Source organism: Homo sapiens, chromosome 18 (genome assembly GCF_000001405.40).
Source record: "Homo sapiens chromosome 18, GRCh38.p14 Primary Assembly".
Taxonomy (NCBI): domain Eukaryota; kingdom Metazoa; phylum Chordata; class Mammalia; order Primates; family Hominidae; genus Homo; species Homo sapiens.
The window spans coordinates 36,789,030-36,812,145 of NC_000018.10; the positions used below are offsets into that span (position 1 = coordinate 36,789,030).

The following is a 23,116-nucleotide window of genomic DNA, read 5'->3' on the forward strand; positions in this document are numbered from 1 at the left end:
GAGGCTGGGGCTGCCTTGGGGTCTTTGACTATCACATGGGGAAAGCTCAGAACCTGCACAGCCCACTCTGCAGCTAAAATGGGTAGCAGCAGGCTAACTCATCCTTGGCTTTTCCTATGAGCCATGGCTGCAAAAGTAATATGTAAAGTAGAAAAGGATGTTGTGTTTTAGGTTAAAAAAAAGTCTTAAGATTAGGTAAATATCCTTATTCTTTGTTGACTATAGCATAGTATAAAATGGCTTTTCACCAGAATTATTCTGAAAATTATAATATAAAACAAGCCGTGCTTGCTCTAACTAAGGCTGCCTGGTGGAACGTTCTGTGATGATGGAAATGTTCTATATATAACTAATATGGTAGCCACTAGACATATGTGATTACTGAATACTTGAAATGTGGCTGGAGATTGAGGAATGAATTTTAAATTTTTATTTTAGTTTATGGCTATGTATTAGCACAGGTCTGAGAGAATATACCTTTATATGTACTTTGTTGCTGTTTATTCATTTTGTACACAGGAAGTTTTATGTTAAATTTAGTTTTGTATAAAATTGCTTTGGACTGCAGTTTCCTCCATCAAGATGATCAAACAATGTCTAAGAAACTATGTGATATGGTTTGGCTGTGTCCCTACCCAAATCTCATCTTGAATTGTGGCTCCCATAATTCCCGTATGTTGTGGGAGGGACCCAGTGGGAGATAACTGAATCATGGGGATGGTTTCCACCCTACTGTTCTCATGGTAGTTAATAAGTCTCACAAGATCTGCTGATTTTATAAGGGGGTTTCCCCTTTCACCTGGCTCTCATTCTCTCTTTGCCTGCCACCATGTAAGATGTGCCTTTCGCCTTCTGCCGTGATTGTGAGGCCTCTCCAGCCACGTGAAACTGTAAGTCCATTAAACCTTTTTCTTAAAAAAATTACCCAGTCTTGGGTATGTCTTTATCAGCAGCGTGAAAATGGACTAATACACTATGTCTACATTGTGCTCTGAGTCTTGGGAATTCTTGTCCACAAAGGAGAATTCTATGTGAAGTCAATACTGTCAAATATACACTCTTCTCTCTTGACATATCCCACCTAGAAGATACAGTCTCTCCTCAGCAGAGTCCACATCAGACCTGTGAGTATAACCCTGTGATTACAATACATGCCATGGCAGAACACACCTGTTTAACAGCTAAATCCACCTTACAATAATGCTTTAAAAAGCAGCATTTCAGTTCTTGTGGTGGTGGTATATGTTTTCACCATGTCACCCTCTGGCTGGTCTTCACTACTGCTCTTCACCCTTATCACCTGGGAATCCTGTTCACAGAAGATTTTATCCATGTGAGATTATGTAGTTGGTTGGATACTGAAAGCATCCAGAGAGATGGTTTCTTTCATAATGCTCGCTACATTTATCAAGGATGGTATTGGACAAGGCCTGGGTGCTAAGAGCTATAGGAAACATAAGGATGTGAGTTTACAAAGATCCCATTTTCAGAACCACAAAGGTACACTGTCCGATAAGAGTTTTGAGCCACAGCTAGTAAGTGGCAAGAGGCAGTCTGGGAGACAATGTTTGGATGCCAAGACATTGGAACATTGCTAACATCTTGCATTATGGCAGTTTTATGACAGGGATGGTCTGTGGGCTGACCTTAGGTATCCTGCCTTTAAAATAAAGTAGTGACTATCTTTTCATAATTTGCATAAACATTTAAATTAACAGCATTTTTACTTTTTTCTCAATTTTGCTTGTTGTCTGTTCCTACTGGTCTATCCTGAAGTATGAAGCAGTTCTTGATTTAGCACAAGATTATGTATTAACTGATTTTAGGTTTATTAATATTTCATGGGGTTCCATACTAAGTAGCAATGGATTTTCCAGAGTAACATGAAGTCCCCATCTGATGTGGTCTGCATTTGTGTCCCTGCCCAAATCTCATGTCGAATTGTAATCCCCAATGTTGGAGGAGGGGCCTTGTGGGAGGTGATTGATTGAATCATGGGGGTGATTTCCACCTTGCCATTCTTGTGATAGTGAGTTCTCACGAGATCTGGTTGCTTACTAGTGTGTAGCCCTCCCCCTTCACTCTCTTCCTCCTCCTCCAGCCATGTAAGATGTGCCTGCTTCCCCTTCCCCTTCCTCTTCAGCCATGATTGTAAGTTTCCTGAGGCCTCCCCAGCTATGCTTCTTGTACAGCCTGCAGAACTTCAAGTCAGTTAAATCTCTCTTCTTTATAAATTACCCAGCTTTAGGTAGTTCTTTATAGCTATGTGAGAATGGATTAATATACCATCTCCACACTGAAGACACAGAGGACAGAGGCAAGGTGACCAAAAGTTAATTGAGTGGTACTGGCATGAAGCACTTCACCTCAAGGAGGGTTCTCCTTGTGGGCTAGGGCTTCCCAGAACCCTGAGGTGGAGGTGGACTGGAGCTGGACCTTGGGAGGAAACTCTAGGTGTAACAGCACAGGAGGAGACCAAGCTGGAGTTTTGGAGAGAGAGAGTGGTTCAGGAGAGCAGGGCAAGATAGGTAATATAGAAAGTCAATGGCTGGAAACAAAGGGGCAAAAGAGGAGCTAACCTTCCTGAATTCTCAACTATATATTAGCTTTTTTAATGGCCACAATTAACTCCATAATGGAGGCCATGTGTGTTAACAAGAGAATGCATGGCTGGAAAAACAGAATCCAGTCTGGGTTGCTTAAGCCAAAGAAGGATATCTGGCTCGGTGTTGTGGCTCATGCCTCTAATCCCAGCACTTTGGGAGGCTGAGGTGGGAGGATTGCTTGAGCCCAGGAATTCAAGACAAGTCTAGGCAACATAGGGAGACTGCATCTCTATAAATAATGATAAAAATATTAACCAGGTGGCGTGTGCCTCTGGTCCCAGGTACTTGAGAAACAGGTGGGAGTATTGCTTGTGCCCAGGAAGTCAAGGCTGCAGTGAGCCATGATTGCGCCACTGCACTCCAGCCTGGGCAACAGAGTGAGACCCTGTCTCAAAAAAAAAAAAAAAAAAAATAGGGAAATTCATCTCAAGATCCCAAGGGTAAGAGCACAGTCAACTTGAATTGGAAATCCACTTCGTGTCCAATTAACTGTAATGAAGGGGCCAGACTTTACTAGACAAATATAGCTACCAGGGACTCTCTGAATGGCTATTGGACAGAAAAAAGTTATAATCTTTAGAGCAATTGCTAAAACATAAAGCAGTGTAGTGTAAAAACCAATAGATAAATTGAATAGAATTATTTAAACAAAACTGAAGGAGTAAATATGGGTCTACCTACGGCATGCCTGGTCATGAGTTGACAATTGATGAACCTGGATGATGGATACATGGGGATTCATTATGCTCTTCTATCTTTGTAAATGTTAAAAACTCTCCATAATAAAAGGTTTAGAAAAATACACGCATTTATGCTGAAACTAAAAAGGTCCCTTGGTCCTTCTATTCTAGTCATTATATATGCTTTACTGGAATAAAAACAGATTTTGAATTATTCTCCATGCAATAAAAGCAAAACCACCCAGACCCATTAAGTAACAAATTTCAGATTTGGTGAGCATCATTGTCACCACTTCAGTTGATTAAAAATCTTGATGGCTGGAACCTTTCCTGGCAATTTTGATTTAGTATGTCTGGAGGGGGATCTGGGTATCTTACTTTCTACACATGATTCTAGTGGCATTGGTGCATGTCAGCTTTAAGGGCTAGATTCTGTGGATTATCAGGTGCAGGCTGCCCCTTTTCATTCCTATCTTTGGCTTGCTTACTTCCCTGCAAGCAGCATGATGATGTAGCACTTTATGTACAATCTTAGCTACATCGATGCATCATGAGGCATTCTGCCATTTATTCTCATTTTGTGACTCCAGCATAATGTCTTTTTCCTGGGCAGTTGATTTATAATATAGCCCATTTCCATTTTAATTGCTTTAGTTTCAAAACATAAATTTCCTGGGTGTTTTTTCCCAATTTAACCCACTTAACCTCCTGTTGTTGGGTCTTTTGCCAGAAGCGCTCCCCTCCTCCTTTACCAGGGCCAGCTTCATGGGTGGGTGACCTGTGCAGTCACACAGGGCCCATACTCAGAAGGGCCTCACACTTAGTTTAGTGCTCTTCTGGCAGTATTTTATCTTTGAACCTGTGTTCTGTAAGTGAAGTCTGATGGGACAACAGAATATATGCATGAGCGGAGGAGACATGTGCAACATATATCCAGTGTTCCTTACCGCCCCATTCACATGTAGCCTTTGTGATCCCCTGTGAGCAGAGAACTCCATTGGACCCATGATGTGTCAGAGCTCGAAGAGATTCAAAGTGAGTACAAAGTAAGCATCTTATATCTATAACTGAGTAAGTGGGGGATGCTGAGAGCCCCAACAGGCTGCACTTCCCATCTGAACCAGACTGGCTTCAAACACAGAAAGAAGGCAATGGCATTCTAAGAAACATGAATGACCTATGTCATTCATGAAGGAGCCCTATCATATCCTTTTTTACTCATATACATTCCTGTGTTAGCCAACCACTTATGCTGAAAATACTAAGAAGTGAAACAGTAACAGTTGAGTTAGTTTTGTACAGTGTTTCTACTGTTGTGGCAAGAACGAAATACATATGCATACAGTATGTAAACATAAGCTATAAAATACAAATTGTGTAATTTTGGTGATTCTGCATGAGTAAATGCTCATATTTTCTTTTTCTTTTTTTTTTTTCTTTGAGACAGAGTCTTGCTCTGTCGTCCAGGCTGGAATACAGTGGTATGATCTCGGCTCACTGCAAGCTCTGCCTCCCAGGTTCACGCCATTCTCCTGCCTCAGCCTCCCGAGTAGCTGGGACTACAGGCGCCCGCCACCACGCCCGGCTAATTTTTGTTTTGTATTTTTAGTAGAGATGGGGTTTCACTGTGTTAGCCAGGATGGTCTTGATCTCCTGACCTCGTGATCCACCAGCCTCGGCCTTCCAAAGTGCTGGGATCACAGGCGTGAGCCACCGTGCCTGGCCAAGTGCTCATATTTTCATTTAAAACTGGAATTGCACAATATAAAGATGAATAGTAAAATGCATGATAGGAATTTAACATTTAAGTTTTTAGTTAGAACAGCATTAAGTAGCAAATAAAAAACACAGCCATAACAAGTTGAGAAAGACACTATGGAAGAAAGGAAAAACATTACATTTTAGTACCTGTAAAGGTAATGTTTTCCTGCTGTTTGCACAAAAGCCTCACATCTTCATTTTGTACTGGATCCTGCACTGAGTGGAGTCAGTCCTGCTCTTCCCTGCTCACTCCTTCTGAGGCAGGTCTTGAGCCTTTCCTTATCATAACCCCCTTCCTTTGATAGCCTTTTGAGAACTCCCACTTGATTGCCACAGATTTGAGTGACACCGCTGACCTCCTGGTTCCTCCGCTGCTTCACTTGTGGAATCCAGGGCTGATTTAGAAATGCTGTGATTCGGGGGATCTCCAAGTACTAAAAAAGGGGTATCTGCTGCAGTGGAAGATGACATAACTTCTCAACTCCCTTCTAACCTCGCTTGTCTTGGAGAAGCAGCCAAATGCTAGAATCTCCTATCCAGTGCCGTTGGCTCTTCCTTTGATCAATTCTGGCAAGAAAAATACTTCTGGAAGACTAAACTCCAGCTATTGTCCTCAACAACTTGGTCTCTCTATATCCTTTTCTGCCACTCCATGAATTGTTGCACATTTATAAATCCTTGAAGTATAATAACCTAAACAACTAAAAGGGCCAAAATGTCTCCTAGAGAATATGTGACAGTCATGTTATGGTTAAAACACACACACACACACACACACACACACACACACACACACACACACACACGTTTAAATGACCACACTGAATTATAAGTGGTTAGTTTTGGGATTGAAAAGGTAAGAGGTCTCGCTATTTTAAAGCAAATGAAGAAGCTGTTAATACGAAGCTCAGTTTATGCTCCCAAAGACTCTTAAGCGCTGATATTTCAAGACTTTGAACTATTACAAATATGGGGAAGCAGCCAGTTAGAGCTTGCCCTGATCCTTGAAGGCTAACTCTTCACCTTGGTTTTCCTCAGGGGCTATGGAAAGTGGTAGGTGGAGGAGATATCGAAGGCGCTTTCTCATGAATATCTATCACTATTGTCAACAATCAAAATAAACATGTTTCAGAGCAAAAGTGCATGTGGAGAATCCTGTGGACTGCTCTTAGTTCCCCAGTGGGTTTGGAAGAGGGAAACCCTGGGTCGATTAGCAGGTAGACAGTGCAAAGGAAGGAAGTCTGGCCAATCACCGGGGTAGAGAGAAGTCAGGAAAGAGAATGAGCCAGCTGGGACTGAAGTGTGCAGATGGTAGAGGCCCCTGCACCTCATTCCTCAAAACTCCTAATTCTCTAACCTCTGGGACTTCAGTACAAAAACTGCAGCCACCCAAAGAACTTGGGGCTAGGTGGGTGACTCCCCACTTTCCCTGTTGGGAAGCAGGGTGAAGGCCTTGCTTCTGCCCACAGCCAGGACTGTAGAGGGAGGAAATAAATAGGCATTCCTAATTGAAAATCTGAGCAACCTTCTCTGTAAAAATTTCATTAAATGTAGTAGGTATGTCAGATTTATCTTGTGTCAAATATTAAGCATATGTGGGCTAGAGGTTCCCCCATATGTCAATGGGAAAATGATTTCTGAATTACAGGCAACTTGCTTCCAAAGGAACTCTTGGAAGCCCACCCTGTTCTAAGCAGGAGACTGCTTGTCCTAAGGATGGCCAGGGACCAGGCAAAGTGAGGCTGGACAACTCAGAGCTGTGAAGAGGCAGGCAGAGCAGGTGGAAAGCTTCTGTTAACAGTGTCTGGCACCATTAAAACTCTTTCTTTATGAAGAGTTGTGCAAAACAATGTTTGGGAATTTTTTGTTTTTAAATGGTAAGAATAAAGTATAGCAGAAGTACACCTTCTTTAAAAAGTTAATAAGGAAGATAATTGTGGAACGTGTACAAACATCATAACACAAAACTGGAAGCAAGAAACTTCACTGGAAACTGATGAGGAAGACAAACTTTATAGGAAGCTGCAAAAGAAATGAGCAGAGCGAGATATTTGTGGTAAGGGATACAAAGAACATACAATTGTGTACTTGAGAGGTTTCATGGAACATTATGACCCATCCAATGAAGACATCAACATTAACAACAAAAATTAATTGAGGAAGAGCAGTATGAAAATATTCTAATGCAGTGCTGTCCAACAGAACTTTCTGTGGTGATGGAAATGTTCCATATCTTTGTGCTAATACAGAATCTACCAGCCACATGAATACTCAAAATGTGGCTAATGCAATTGAAGAAATGAATTTTTCATACAATTTACTTTAAATTTAAATAGTCATATGTGACTAGTGGCTCCTGAATGAACAATGCAGTTCTAATGCTTCATGGGTCAAAACCAGTGGTTTCTTTGGGGGACCTCTCTAATCAATCAGTGCTAAGGGATTGAGGGTTGAGTGTTGAAGAAGAGGAAAGCACTCAGACTTATTTGGGCACTTACACAAGATTCCAAATTCCCCATTGCTTCCAGAGGCAGGGGACAGCACAACCTGCTCTGGAGGCCTCACTACGAGCCTGGCTAATGTCGGTGGGACTAAAAGCCTTACAATTTTGGTCATTCAACTAGAAAGAGGCCTACGGTCCACACGCAAAACTGGAGGTCACCCCTAGGGCCATCTGTGCATGGAAACCACCACTCTGGAGCTGGTAGGGAGTTGGAGGGAGGGGTGCTCACTTCCGGGTGGGGTTTCCAGAGCCAGAGGAGGATTTAGAAGTGGAGGAAGTGGAGGGACCGGAGGGTCCTGAGGGCCCTTTCTGGCCACCTGCAGGCTGCACAGGCCCTTTCTTTTTTGGGATTACGATCTTGTTCTTGCTCTTAAACACTTTGCTGGGATCTAGCTTATTCACAAAGGAGTCGGTCTCTTCTGTGAGCAGGTTTGTGTTGTAGGTGATAGGTTTATACATGCTGAACCATTGCTGTAAGGCAGAATTGGAAGACAAGGTCACAATTCAAAGGAAAAATGCCATTCTGTGTGCTCTTTTTGTGGGATGCAGGAGAGTTGGGAACAGGAGGCAGAGGTACATTTTCATGAAAAACTGCCTAAAAATCTATTTGCTCTTCCTTTAAGTGGAGGTGATAACAGATCCCATCAACCTCTGGTAAGATAGACACATTGCTTTATGAGGTCTCAGGACCTTTAAGATAAATGCAGTATGAAAACTAAGAATCTGAGCACACCTCCTTCTGATTTAGTGAGTCCTGAGCCTGGGATGCTAGATCCCAAAGCACTAGAGGACAGCGTCTATTGTTCTGCCCTCAAACCAGCTACTCCCCATCAGGTGGATTCTGGCAGCACCATTCCCCCAGGAAAGGCAGGAGACAGAGGCTAGTGTGGGCCTCTGCTGAGGGATGCTGTATCTTGTTGGTGTTCTGTTTCCTACTGTTTTTTTTTTTTGGCAGCTGAGGGCAAAGGGCATCCACATTTATTTACCTTTTAAATCACAGCCGCCTCTCAATGTTGACCAGATAAATGTTATAATTATGTGACATTTGAAGAAAATGAAGCCTACTAGATGAATACATACACAGTAAGGTGAGCTGGAGCTGAGTTCCTAATTTGCTGCTAATTTATAGCTGCAAGAAACCACCACGAAGGAGCCCAGATGAGCTCATTCTAGTCAAAAGTTTTTCCAGCCACACTTGGTGTTTTCAAACCAGGTTGTATACCTGGCATCTGTATGCCTGAAATGGTGACCAGACCTGTAATATAAATGAGGCACACCCACACAATGGAATACTCTGTAGCCACTGAAGAGGACAAGTGCCCTAAATGTACTGAAAGGGAATAAGCCCCAAGATGGAGTGTTATGTGAAAAGAACAAGATGCAGAATCATGTTGACAGTACATTACACTTGAGATTTAGAAAAAAGGAACACCAAAAGTGTGCATGCATGCTTTATGTGCAATGAGTATCTTGGGAAGGGCGTACAGGAAACTCGTAATAGCAGCTGCCACTGGGGATGCACACTTGGAGAACAGGGGAGTGAGAATCTGACTTTTCACTCTTCCTGGGTGCATGTACTGCCAACCCAGAACAAGTCATGGGACATAAACTATCCAACAGAATTTCATTAAAAATAAAACTCCCCAGTTAATTCTGAGAATCAGTCAAGTTTGGGAACCACTTAACTAGATGAGTAAAGTGAGGCTGTCCATTGGAATCATCTGTCTTGCTTATTGAAAATGCAGGTTCCTGGGCCCCACCCTAGATCTCCTGAATCAGATAGGGAAGTTGGGAACCTGCAATGTAACCATTTCCTCAGTAGATTTTGGAATATACCATAGTTTACAATGGCAGGTGTTCCTCCCTTACCTTGGCCTGTGGGCTAATGCCATAGCTGGTGAAGGCATATTGCCACTGGGGCAGGCCCAGGTGGGTGATGAGCAGGCGGTAATAGGCAGTAAAGGTGTCTGTGAGAAAATGCCAGTATAACGCTCTGTCCAGGAACCAGATCTCAGTGTCTTCTGCTAATGCTGAAGTAGAAGACAAAGGAAGTAAAAGATAAAGAATAGCTTAACAGTTTTTTCTTTTTAACTGTAAAAGGTTATACTCATGGCCTTAAAAAAAAATCCCAACAGAGAGAATGGAAAATGTAAAGTAAAAGTTCCCCTTCTGCCCCACTTCTAACCCTCCAGTCTCCTTCTCTAGTGGCCACTTTACTAGTTCCTTTGATACTCTTACAAATTTTTGCTAGATCAGTAGATTGATCTATCTGCTGGTCTCTGACCATCTGGAAGTCCAGTCAGGCTATCTAGGCAGCTACTCCTTTTCTGTGTGTCATAGCATTCCCCTCCCCCGGTAGGGGGGCGGAATACTGTGGTCTCAGCTTTCCTGAGAGAGAAAAACACTGAATGGCTTAGGTTTTTTTGAAGAAGTCTCTATCGGTGCCATGAAAAACAAAAAGTGCCACAAAAAACCACCATGAAGGAGCTTAGCCCAGTTCACTCCTGGGAGTCTTGCCTATACTGTGATGTCCTGCCTCCCAGTTTGTGACTTTCCATTCTTACTACTTCAAGCCTATCTTACTTCCTCTGCTGTCTAGATAGCTATAATATCTCCCTAAGTGCCCTCCATTATCCATCCAGTCTCTTTCTTTGCCAAAACTGCTGGTAGTCATGATCCCTGCCATTTTACTAAACAACCTTCATTAGCTCCCCACTGTCTTCCACATTATGTCCAAACTCCTTTGCTTGCTTTCAAAGCTCTGCATCAGAGACAGCAATTAGCCTTCTAGCTTAATCTCCTCCTCACCCCCTACATGAACCATGTGGCCCACTGAATTGGAATTGTCATTCCCCACAAATCAATTGTACTTTCCCATGGCTTGGCTTTTACCCATTTGTCCCTTTGCTTGGATGCTCCCTTGTCTCTTTTACTCCACCAAATCCTCCTCCCCACCCGGTATCTAATTCCTACCCCACAGTTCAAGATGCAGCTCCATGACTACTTTGCAACAATTCCTCTGGCTGGATGATTTCTCCTTGCCCCAGAGGTAAATCCTGGTGTCTGTATCCTCTCACCCCTACCAGACAGCTAGCTGAAGAGGGCTGCCATTGTCCAGCTCTGTAGTTTCACAGTCCCTAGGCTGGGGTCTGAAGTGCTGTTAGGGGGCTAGGTGGCAGCTGCTGCTTGAGGGCAGAGAGGCTTTTAATTTCCCATCAGGGGTCTTTGGTCTAGTAATTCAGGTTTTTATTGCTGTTAATTGGCCTAGATATAGAAGTATAAAAGATAATGTGTTTTCTGGATGCTTATCTAGTACATGAACTTGCTGTAGGAGTCTATTAACAAAATGCCTATTTCTTTTAGTTTTTACTCCCATATTCTAATCTCATCAACTATTTGGCAATAACTCACAAATGAAGATGGATAAAAGGACTAATAATTAGCCCAAAGGGTGATGCTCAGAGAGAACCAAAGGGGTTTTTGGGTTTGGGACACACAAGGAACCTGGGAGCATCTCAAGAGGCCAAGGAGGTATGTGTCTCCTGAGCCATGGCTGACAAGCAAGGTCAGGCAAGACCCTAGCCAAACTACGGGACCACGCTTGTAAACAATTCTTACCTGGTTTCCCACTTTTGTAGACAAGGCAAACTTTCCCACTGCCATTGCATGAATCCAGCTCAAATATCACACTGCGAGAGTCAAAGTGAGGCTTCTCTGGCTGATCATCACTGGCTGCAAACCCAGAAGTTAATGGTAATGTTCAAACAAACTCAACTCAAACACATACCTATATATCCAACTTTGCTAGGTGGAAAAAACAGAAGGAAAAAGCCTTATCTCAGACATATACTTAAGTAGTATTTACAAATAAATTCTGTATTTGAATTAAAGCCCTAATCTCATTCATGGACTAGGCCTTCTGTCTGGGTTTCTCTATCAGCAACAGACAATGTCAGGGAATCTGGGAAAAGGAGGCATGAGAAAGCAAACTTCTTGGAAGTGGGACCACAGAGCAATCTGAATGGCTTGATGCTGACATAACTTCATTTCCTTTCCTGAGATTGTTTATTCTATAAAAGTGGGATAGCAAACACATTATCTGAATCTTTCTTTCTTTTTTTTTTTTTTGAGATGGAGTCTCACTCTGTTGCCTAGGCTGGAGTGCAATGGCATAATCTCGGCTCACTGCAACCTCCACCTCCCGGGTTGAAGCAATTCTCCTACTTCAGCCTCCCGAGTAGCTGGGACTACCGGCATGTGCCACCACGCCTGGCTAATTTTTGTATTTTTAGTAGGGACGGAGTTTCACCACATTGGCCAGACTGCTCTCGAACTCCTGACCTCAAGTGATCTGCCCATCTTGGCCTCCCAAAATGCTGGGATTACAGGCACGAGCCACCGCGCCCGGTCAGAACCATGTAAAAGCCCTCTAAGTCATGTGGCATAACTCTAATTCATTCTTTTTAAATGACTATTTCATAGTCTGTGGGAGTGACGTACCCTCATTTATTCCACCATTCCTCTATGGATAGGCATTTGCCTACCATTACTTGGTTGTGAATGCTACAATAATCTTCTCTGTACATGCCCTTATATTCTGGTGCTTTCATTATATGCGACAGATTCCCTGCAATAGAATAGATGTTGCCAGATTGCTCTTCAAAAAGGACTTTTTAAGATCCAGGGAGACAGACTGGAAGTCCTTTGTTTTTGAAAGATATTTTAATGGGTATAGAATTCTAGGTTTATTTTATTTTATTTTTTTGAGACAGACAGGGTCTCCACTCTATCACCTGGGCTGGAGTGCAGTGACATGTGAACATGGTTCATTGTAGCCTTGACCTCCTGGGTTCAAGCAATCCTCCTGCCTCAGACTCCCAAGTAGCTGGGGTCCATAGGTGTGGCCACCATACCCAGGTAATTTTTAAATTTTTTGTAGAGATGGAGTTTCGCTATGTTGCCTAGGCTGATCTCAAACTCCTGGGCTCTAGTGATCCTCTGGCCTCAGCCTCCTAAAGTGCTGGGATTACAGGTGTGAATGACTGAACAACCTATTTTTTCCTTTGAGTATTTTATCTCACTTGAATTGCTTTTAAGGAGAAATATGCTGTTATCCTTATCTTTGTTCTCTTGTATGTAATTTGTCTTTTCCCTTTGGCTGCATTTATGATTTTCTCTTTATCTTTGATTTTGAACAATCTGATTATGGTGTTTCTTGTTATCATTTGTGTTTCTTGTTCCTGGCTTATTAAGCTTATTGGATACGTGGATTTATAGTTCCCATGATTGGTAAACTTTTGAGCCGTTATTTCTTCAAATATTTGCTAGCCCCTGACCCCTCTTCTCAGACTCCAATTACACATACATTATACCATATGTTGTCCCTCAGGTCACTGATGCTGTTTTCATTATAAATAATTTTTGTTCTGTGTAACTTTAGATAGCTTCTATTATGTGTTGAAGTTCTCTAGTCTCTTCTTCTGCAATGTCTTAGCCACCAATAATCCAAACCACTGCATTTTTCATATCAGTGCTTGAAAATCACTGTTTTATATATTTTGTCTGTTGTTTGTCATTGTTGCTCCAGGTGGGTAGATAAATCTGGTCTGTTACTCCATCTTGGATGAAATAAAAAGTCCAGTTGATATGTTCCCACCAAGTTTTGGCAGCCCTGCCTGGTGCTGACTGAGGTCTGCCCTCAGTTGAAAAGTTGTAAGAACAGAAAACTCAATGTGGCTCCCTTCTGCCAACTGTAGACACCATTCCAGCTTCTGCCTGCTTTTGACTACTCTCCAGTCCTTTAAGACACGTTTTTAAAATTCTTCCAGAGTACAGAGTATTACCTGCAGAGTCTTGCTCTGGTAAAAGAGATTCTGCCATATTATAAACACAATGTCAATATACGAATTTTTTTTTTTTCAAATCTACAATGTCACCGTTTTCAGTTCCTCCCTGAAATTTTAGTTTGGTTTTACCTCCACAGGGGCATATAAGCATATCGTTTTGTACTCTGTATCTAATAACGTCACTCTTAGCTGTACCAATGGATCTCTTTTGCTACTTTTTTGAGATGGAGTCTTGCTCTGTTGCTGGGCCGGAGTGCAGTGGCATGATCTTGGCTTACTGCAACCTCTGCCTCCTGGGTTCAAGTGACTCTCTTGCCTCAGCCTCCCGAGTAGCTGGAATTACAGGTGCCCGCCACCACGCCTGGCTAATTTTTGTACTTTTAGTAGAGACGGGGTTTCACCATGTTGGCCAGAATGGTCTTGATCTCCTGACCTCATGATTCGCCCCCCTCGGCCTCCCAAAGTGCTGGTATTACAGGTGTGAGCTACCGCACCCGGCCCTCTTTTTTCTTGATTAAAATTTTTTTAAAGTTTTATTTTTTTAATTGACAATTATTTTTAATTGTTTTATTTGACAAATAATAATTGTATATATTTATATATTGATGGAGAACAACACGCTATTTTAAGATGTATATGCATTGTGGAAAGATCAAATCAGGCTAATTAGCATATCTACCACTAGTATTTATCATTTCTTTGCGGTGAGAACATTTAAAATCCTTTCTTTTAGCTATTTTGAAATATACATTATTAGCTATAGTCATTATGCTGTGCAATAGATCACCAGAACTTATTCCTCCTGTCTCACTGAAACTGTGCCTGTTGACCAACGTTTCCCCTTTCCCTGTCCAGCCTCCCCACCCCAAGCCTCTGGTAACCACTGCTGATCTGTTACCTGTTATCTGTGCTGGTTCTCATTCATGGGGTTTTGTGTCCTCATCTGCTGAGTTAATGTCAGTGTGCTTATTATTCCCTCACAAGTAATTTGTTATTTTTGCCTAGAAGCTTGTAATTTTCTCCACATCAGTATATGCATCAGTGTCTGTGTTTTCTCATCTGTTCAACTTGGGTCTAGGTGGGCCCTTTCCATCTGCAGAGAGGTGTCTTTTATTAGTATGTATTTACTGCCTTTCCATCTATTTTCTCTTTTTTGAGCACCCATAATTCCAATGGAAAGTGTCCTGAATCTATTTTCCACTTCTCTTAATTCCTACCTTTTCCCTCATAATTCCCCTCTTTTAAATTTATTCATCTATGCTTTAAGATATTTCTTGCACTTGATTTTTCAGGCTAACTCAGGTCTCAATAAAATACATATACTCCTCTTCAATTCATGTAGTCAATTGTTTGAGAATCTTTGTTTTTATCCATAGAAAGTCTTTATGTTGTCTTAAATCTCCTTAAGTATTCTTGTTCTTAGATTTTTATCTGTGTCCTCTAGCAGTTTTATTTCTCTGGTTGTGTTTTTTTTTTAAATAGTGACGGGATCTCACTATTTTGCCCAGGCTAGAGTGTGGTGGCTATTCACAGGTGTGATCACAGCATGCTACAGCCTCAAACTCGTGGGCTCAGGTGATCAGTGGCGATTTACAGAGGTGATGATAGCACACTACAGCCTCAATCTCCTGGGATCCAGTGATCCTCTTGCCTCAGCCTCACAAGTAGCTAGGAATACAGGCTCATGCCACTGCTCCCGGCTTACTGTGTATTCTATTTTTTGCTGATGATCCTCTCTCTGACTGCTGAGTCCCCTGACAGAAGTCACTGTTTTTCCATTTAGGTTTAATGAGACTTAGGTATACTTGTTGTACTATCCTAAAATGCATGAATCTAGCAGGTGTCGGAAGGCCAAGTGGTTTTTATCCCCATTTGTATGTGGAACAATGTGATCCCATGAAGCCTCTCTGTTACCTACTCTACCTCTTCTCTTCCAGCCTCAAGAGCAGGGAAGACTTAGCCCACCTATTTGACTACTTCACCTTTTAGAGAAGCCCACCCCATACATATAAAGACAGTGAGACCTTTTTCCTACCCCTGGAAATTCCACAAGTCTTTGTGTGACAGGCTCTTTCCAGGGCCCATCACTGTCTAGCCTCTGCCCCCGAACTTCTCTGGTACTATTCTTCAATTGCTCATCCAATCGGAGGAGAAAGCCTTACATCAGTTTTCTCTGCCAGGGCTTAGTGAACCCCAAGGTCTTAGTATTGGAGACATTAGTTGCCTATTCACTATTTGTTCTTCCTTTCTTTCTTAATGAAAGCCCAGTTCTGTTCAAGGAAGCCATACTGCACAACTAAAAGTATTTACCTTCTCAGACCCCTGGCAACCTGGGTTGCCATTTGACTCTTCTAATAGCTATTAGGAGGTGCTGCTGAGAAAACCATTGTTTTCTTGATCAAAAGGGAGAGATTCTGCAAACAGCCAGGTATTTTGCCCTTTGCCGTTTACTCATCTTTTTTCCTGACAGGAAAAGCCCACCTTCCTCAACCATAAGGATGAAAACCATATCCAAAGCCTGGTGCAGCACAATGCCAGAGGGAGACTTTATCATTGACTTTCTCAAGCAGCGACATCAGCCTAGTTCCAGATTTCTTGTTATGAGAAAAATAAATTGCTATTTAAACATTGTAACTACATCTGTTATATGCGACCAAACACAACTCTGACTAAGTCCTCACTTATACCCAGTTGCTCCTAGGTTTTAGCAGCCACTTGACTTATGAGCCATTTCACTCAGAAGTGGCAAAGAGCTTGGAGGTAAAAATGGAGAGGAAAGGAGCTGTATTTAGATTGTCATGTTCCCTGAATCCTCTTGATACTGAAATGTTGAGTGAGGTTTAATCTTTAACATTCATTCATGCACCAAGATTCATTAAGTACCTACTATGCGCCAGGCATGGAGCTGGATGCTGGAAACAAAGATACCAACCTTGGTATCTTCCTACCTTCATGTGTATCGTCCTCCAGGTCTGCCAGAGTGGGTGCATTAGGAAGTGAATACATGGAAGACTGGGTGAGCTGAGTCAGTTTTGAGATGCTGTTAATTGCCATGCTTCCCAGTGGAATGATGTGCTCTAGGGGAACATGCGTTAAGGAGAATTACATGGAGTAACAGCCTAGTTACAATGGTTATCATGAGATTCTGCTTGAATAACCTAAGCCCAGGTATTGTTTCGCCCCATGGCTGACGAATCTGATGGAAGGTGGGAAGAAGAGGATTACTCACTGCATATTCCAAAGTACCAACCTTTCATACAAAAAAAGGAACTGGGGGCCACGGGTGATGAAGAGCCCCCATTGTATGTATTAGGGTAGAGTGGAAGAAAAATTTCAAAGGGAATACCAACAAAGAACTGGGAAATCTGGGCTTTGGGACATTTGAAGGGTAAAGGACATTAAAATGTTTTTGCTCCCTCTTTCCTTTGTTTAGCAAGTATTCTGCATAAACATTTTCTGAAGGAGTAATAGCTTTGATTATATAATGGACCCCTTCTATTCTTCTTGTTATAAGCTTTCATGATTAAAAAAAAAATTCCCCCCTTCTCTTTATCATTTTCCCTTACTCAGTGATGAGAATTTGGCAGTCTTCTTGCTTGGTTCTAGTCTTCTGTGATTAGGGTGTAAATACAGACTAGGAAGCTCCATGTTTTCTTTATTTGCTGAAAAAACTGGAATGGTTTAAAGCAATAAAACAACCTGTGTAAAGACCATGGAATGTCTAAGAATAAAAGACCACTAAAGAGGCAAACATCAGAAGATGCCTCTGCTGCCTTTTCTGTCTCTGACTTAGGCTGTTCAGTATATCATGGGTATGGAAATGGGGATAAGAAGACTGGGCTTGGGGAGATTAAATTAGAGAGGGTATTGCAATAATGAACTGGGACTCATTCATAAAATTTTATTCTCTGAAGCAGGCATATAAAGGGGCTAGCCTGTTGCAAGGATGTGGGCCAGGGAAAGTCTGTCAGTTGGTTTAGTCTCTGTCCCCTCTCTGTTGCTCCAGACACCAAAAGCCACGGCCATGCTATAAAAGAAGGTTCTGATGCTGGTGACAAGGATGGTTTCTAAGCCAAAGGAGGAAATGATTCTAAGATAAAAGCTAATGTTCAATATTCACTAGCAAGCTATAAAAAAGTACCTCTGGCTGGGTGCGGTGCCTCACACCTGTAATCCCAGCACTTTGGGAGGCCAAGGTGGGCGGATCATGAGGTCAGGAGTTCAAGACCAGCCTGACCAACATGGTGAAACCCTGTCTCTACTAAAAATACAAAAATTAGCCGGGTGTGGTGGCACATGCCTGTAATCCCAGCTACTCAGGAGGCTGAGGCAGAAGAATCTCTTGAACCTGGGAGGCGGAGGTTGCAGTGAGCAGAGATCGCGCCACTGTACTCCAGCTTGGGCAACAGAGTGAGACTCCATCTTAAAAAAAAAAAAAAAAAAAAAAAAAAAAAAAGTACCTCTGACCAGCAGTGCAAGATAGACAGGAAGGCTTTGGAAATCACCCAAACAGAACTCAGGTGTGTAGGTAGAAGGCCGAGGCAACAAAGGGGAGAAGTCTGCTCTGTAGATTTGCAGTACAACAGAAGTCACTGCATTTTTAGGGACAGCAGTGGGGAAATGTAGGGTACTTCCCAAGGCCAAAGTAGATCTGGTTGGAGTCAGAGACAATAATGGACTGGAGGGGAGGAACTGGAGGGGAGGGGCTGGGGAATCTGTGCCACGAACGGGCTGGGCTCCTGTGGCTGGACAGGGTTTTCTAGACTATGAAATGTTTTCAAGAGTCTTCACCTAAATGTTCAGCACTGCCTTTTATGCCTACATAGTACCTACAATCTGACATGTACAAACTTGTGAGTTCCCACATCCACACAAAAATGTTTTGTCCTAGACAAAAGATGGCAGCCTGTGAATTGAGGTAGCTGGTGACTTAGGCTGAGGTGATGTGAAGGAGAGAAGCGAAGACTCTGGTTTGAGGATTAGGGCCCTAAGGTCTTTATGATGGTGGGAATAAAGGAAGAGCCTGAAAGAGATAAGTGGCCCCCTCATCAACACTAGAGACTGTCACTGCCGCCTACCCTGAGGGGTTTGCTTGGAGGTAGAGCCCTCTGAGGCTTTAAGTTTGAGGTGGCTAGGGTTTTTTATGTAGTAATTAATGGTTTTCTCTACCCTATTCCTACAGGAATCCTCTAAATTGAACTTCCAGTTCCATACTGCTAGACTGTCGTGGGATTTGTGGTGGGTGAAGCAATGATGGCATCTGTTAGTTTTGGGACATAATCACAGCTTCTGGACATGGCACTTGAGGGGCACCCATGAAAACCATCCAGATTCAAAGACTCAAAAGTCGAAGGGCCCTCAGAGTTGTCCCATTCAATCTCTCAGCCAGGGAAATGTTCTCCTACAAGGAGGCTGACTCACCATCCAGCTTCACACTCCATGTCATGTGGAAGCCATTGGTCATCAGGTAAAAGTTCTTCACATCTTCAGGCATCACACAGTTATTCTTCTAGAATCACAAAGCAGCTAAGTGTTAGGTAAGGGCTGGGAAAGAGGGTACAGGGCTATGGCTTAAGGCACTGGGGACACGTTTAGCATGTTATACGTCCCTGAAATAGGAAGGCTCTGATAGTCACCTACAAAACTCTATTAGAGAGGCACTGGGGTCTTGCAAGCAGAGTTCCAGTTTGCCTTTTTTTTCTTCAGCAGCTAATGCAAACCAGGTACCTGCTCTGCCATGATAATGCCTCAATGGGCAGCCACCTGGCAAAGGAGCTCAAAGGGAACAAGCTGAAGAGGAGACAGGGGAACATGGCAAGAGGGGAAGTCCTAGGTAAAGTCTGACAATGTTCAAGCAAAGCAATCACTGCCGTACATATCAGACCCATGGTCATATATTATTTTCTGAAACAAATTATTGGACAAATGAGAGCATCTTAAAAGTGAAGAGTGCCTGTAATCCCAGCACTTTGGGAGGCCGAGGTGGGCGGGTCACGAGATCAGGAGATGGAGACCATCTTGGCTAACATGGTGAAACCCCATCTCTACTAAAAATACAAAAAATTAGCAGGGTGTGGTGGCGGGCGCCTGTAGTCCCAGCTACTCGGGAGGCTGAGGCAGGAGAATGGCATGAACCTGGGAGGCGGAGCTTGCAGTGAGCCGAGATTGTGCCACTGTACTCCAGCCTGGGTGACAAAGAGAGACTCCATCTCAAAAAAAAAACAAAGTGAAGAGTATATCATTTCCAGAAAACTTATGCAATGTCTAAGTTCTGACAGCTCTTAGAAGGTAACCATATATACTCAAATATTTCACATATCCATGGATATGAAATCATCCAAACCGTTGCTGGAGAGAACAAAGAAGAAACTTAGTATCCCTTCAGGAGATACCAGGAACAAGCCCTACATTCTAAGTAACTCACATCTGTGTGTGTGTATGACCAGTCTTCCCTAGCCAACTCAAATCCCTGGAATGTGCAAAGGATGAGTTCTCCAATTCATTTCCTGGGCCCCCTAGAGTGACTTCTTGATGTAGTTACAGAGGCAAAGAGGCAACATGTTAATAACTATCCAAGCTTGTGGCTTACTGGACCCTTCTGAGATGTGATACCGACAACTGCTTATGTCAGGACTGCATTAGGTCATCCTGTCAGTCAGTTCTAGGTACCCAATGCATGGGAAAGCATCATGTAGAAGGACGATTTGAGTTCACTTCCCAACTCTGCCAGTAGCTGAGTGACGAACACATCACTCTGTGAATCTAGGTTCAAGAATAAACTCTAAGACTTAATATACAGAACACTGGCAGTACGAGGGGGTGTGAGTTTGACAGGAAGAGAGGAGACTAGGAAATTATTATTATTCACAGCCACAGCATCTTCAGGAACTATAGATAAAGAGAAAGCTTCAAGCTTGCCGGAGATTTTAAGCATGTTTTTAGATTATTAAATGGACAACAGCTGTCATTTTAATGAAACAGGTTTTAAATTTCTTTTATTTATGAACTAAAATGTATGTTCTGATCAAGTTTTGTTTTTTCTGTGTCCATTATTTAGTACCCAGTCTCATAAATGTGAAATTTAAGAGACTCAGACTCCTTGGACTAATTTGTTTTCCTATTATTAGGAGTAATGGGCTTGCTCCTAGTGCCTCCTGTGTGGCCACATTATCTGTGCTTTCAGAAGAAAAAATGCACTTGCAGAATGCCTTTCTCCCACTCCTAAAACCCTGGTACAGGAAGCCTACAGTTACCAGTGTTCTGCAAGGTCCTTGCTCCTCTCGTCGCCCCAAAAGGACAGCATTGCTCTGACATTTTGATCACTAGTGCCATCTAGTGGTGAAGACAAGGAAACTACTGTCTATCCGCCTTTCTTAATGGGGATTCCATGAGATCCAGGCTGAGGGCAGGTGGACTATTTGGCATTGTTCATATGTAAGACAGGCTGAATAATTCCAGTAATTAATAGTAATTATAACATTTGTTATGGTATTTATTTCACCCAAGAAATAAGTTTTGGTATTATTTTATACCAATATTTTTTACAATTATTCAAAATTCATACAAATAGAAAAAAATCTGTGAAATCAAATATTTAACACACATTTCAAATACTAATATACATAAAAATATTCAAGTAAACCAAATTCATGAAAAACATCAATCCCTCACTGTCATTCTAATTTAAACGACTAGCGGCCCTGACTCTGCTGCTTTTTGCTGCAGACCCTTCTGCCCCAAGCACCCCTGGGGCAGTTGCTGGGCCTGCAGTTCTCCAGCCTTCCTACTGCATGTAGCTCTTCTGAGTGGGGCAAATCCAGGAAGAAAGGTTCACAACCAAAATTTAAATGACCACATACTTGCTTCAGTCCTTTAAGGTTGGAGAGAAAAGTAAACAACCTCTCCTAATTTTAACGTATCTCACCATTTTTTTTTTCTGGCCAGTGACTCAGTTACTGCCGTTTTAAAATTTCTGTTCTAACCAACCTGAAAAGAGTTTGCTTTTCCACAGGGAGCAATCTGCCCACATCAGAGGGCTTCTTCCCACACAGATCCATGCCCAGGCTATATTTTGGGGGGTGTGATAGGAGGGCAGGGAGGAGGAAGATCGGCAGAAAGTGAATGGAGGAGGGTAATATCAGGATTGGAGAGAGGGTCTGGGGAGAAAGCCAACAAGGGAGAGTAACAACGACTGGTATCTGAACTAACAGCTGATTGCATCAAGATGGTATCTGCAATCTCTAGCCCAGTGGTGATTCTGTCACATAGTTCCTAATTTTTAATCTTTCTTTTCTTCTCCTGAGATAATCTACAATGGTTTATTTAAGCTACTTTAGAAAGAGTCCATCACAAGCTCTGTTACTACTTCATCAGATGAAGGACCTGAGCCACTTTTTTGTTTTGGGAGCTATCAACAAGATTCCAGAAAACCAATAGCACTGGGCCTCAAGGGAAGGGCTAGGGGCTGTCCATTGCCTTCTACTCACCTTTTCTACTCCTGGACAATCCTGCACCCCATTATTCCCCTCACTTTTAGAGGCCACTTCCCAACTAGGGAGCAGATGCAGGATCAGGTCAGCATAGGGCCCAAAGGACAGAAATCAATGTCTCTGTAGGTGCTGGTCCATGCTGAGCTGGCTCTCTGGCTGGTCTGCAACCATGGCCAGGTGAAGAGCTGCCCAGGACGTCCATCAAGGAGCATGAGAACATTGCTGGAAATTGTGGCAATGAGCACAACGGCATCTCCTGAAACTCTTCTCAGGGAGGACATTCCATGAAGTGGAGGAAAACCTGGATGAGCTGTGGAGGGATGGTGTGAGATCCCCAAGAGAATTCCCAAATATATTCTCAAACTCCCACCTTAGGAGAGGTGGAGGGCTTGGTTAACTGAACCCTTTTGTTTTGTTGAGTAGGGTATGAGAGTTTGGGGCCAGAGCTGCATTGCTTAACAGCCAAAGGAAAGGTAGCATACTTTTTCCAAAATCCTTTCTCCACAGAACCATTAGTCTCCCTCTAAAAATACGTGAAGAAAAAAATATATAAATATTGGCCTGTCTAGAGGCACCACAAGTCTTGGTGAAGCTGTGTGTCTGACAGAGCTCATATGAGGCAACCTTCAGAAGAGTAATACCCTCAAGTTTATATAATCATCAAAATTCTACCACTGGGGGAATTAGTGGGGGAAGCCTTTGCATCTACAGCTGCTCTGCTTCAGAGATGGTGGGTGTGGTAGCCTGAGTCTCAGGAATGCAATTAAGGATTGCTTGTGGAAAAGAAGTTAGGCAACCTTGGGAAGGCTCGACACTCTTTCTGACTTTTGCGTTTTATCTAATTCACTTACTCATTTCACATTTATTAAGTATCTATTATGGGATAAATACTGTGTGGGGCACTAGAAACAGAAAGAGAAATGAGGGAAGGGGCAGAGAAGGCTGTGTCAGACACATGGATTGCTTATTCAAATCCACCTTCCTTTTTCTCCTTGGCAGAACCTTCATTTTGTCTGAGATGGCAATGTGTCCTATTAAATACTTGTTTTCAGAACCTCCTGCAATTACTGCTGGACATTAAAATGTAAACACAAGTCCAAAACAGAAGGTTTCTAAGAAAACTTTCACTGTCCTGTTAAAAGGTGACAGATATGCCTGGCCACATCCCTTACCTCTTTTTTGTTTTTTGAGCTTGGAAATGATAGCTCAGACTGTAGCAGTTATTTTGCCA

The 23,116-nt window shown here is 42.6% G+C and overlaps 1 protein-coding gene across 16 annotated transcripts in view; it reads right to left on the reverse strand.

The window, feature by feature from the left end:
- The window catches only part of TPGS2 (tubulin polyglutamylase complex subunit 2), a 48,979-nt gene that overhangs the window by 9,006 nt on the left and 16,857 nt on the right, over window positions 1-23,116 (reverse strand). For 7 of the 16 annotated variants that reach the window (XR_007066142.1, NM_001271956.2, XM_017025701.3 and 4 more), the window contains 4 exons: window positions 18,818-18,905; window positions 16,345-16,473; window positions 11,169-11,282; window positions 9,420-9,580 (listed from right to left, as the gene is read on the reverse strand). Coding sequence is in view for 14 of the 16 variants with exons in the window: in NM_001271956.2 (NP_001258885.1) it covers window positions 9,420-9,580; window positions 11,169-11,282; window positions 16,345-16,473; window positions 18,818-18,905 (492 nt within the window). In the remaining 2 variants the exon portion in view is untranslated. Of the gene's footprint in view, window positions 1-5,078; window positions 8,022-8,988; window positions 9,581-11,168; window positions 11,283-16,344; window positions 16,474-18,817; window positions 18,906-23,116 lie in introns of those variants that run through there. The other 9 variants (XR_007066143.1, XM_017025702.3, XM_005258242.5 and 6 more) reach the window with 6 other exon arrangements.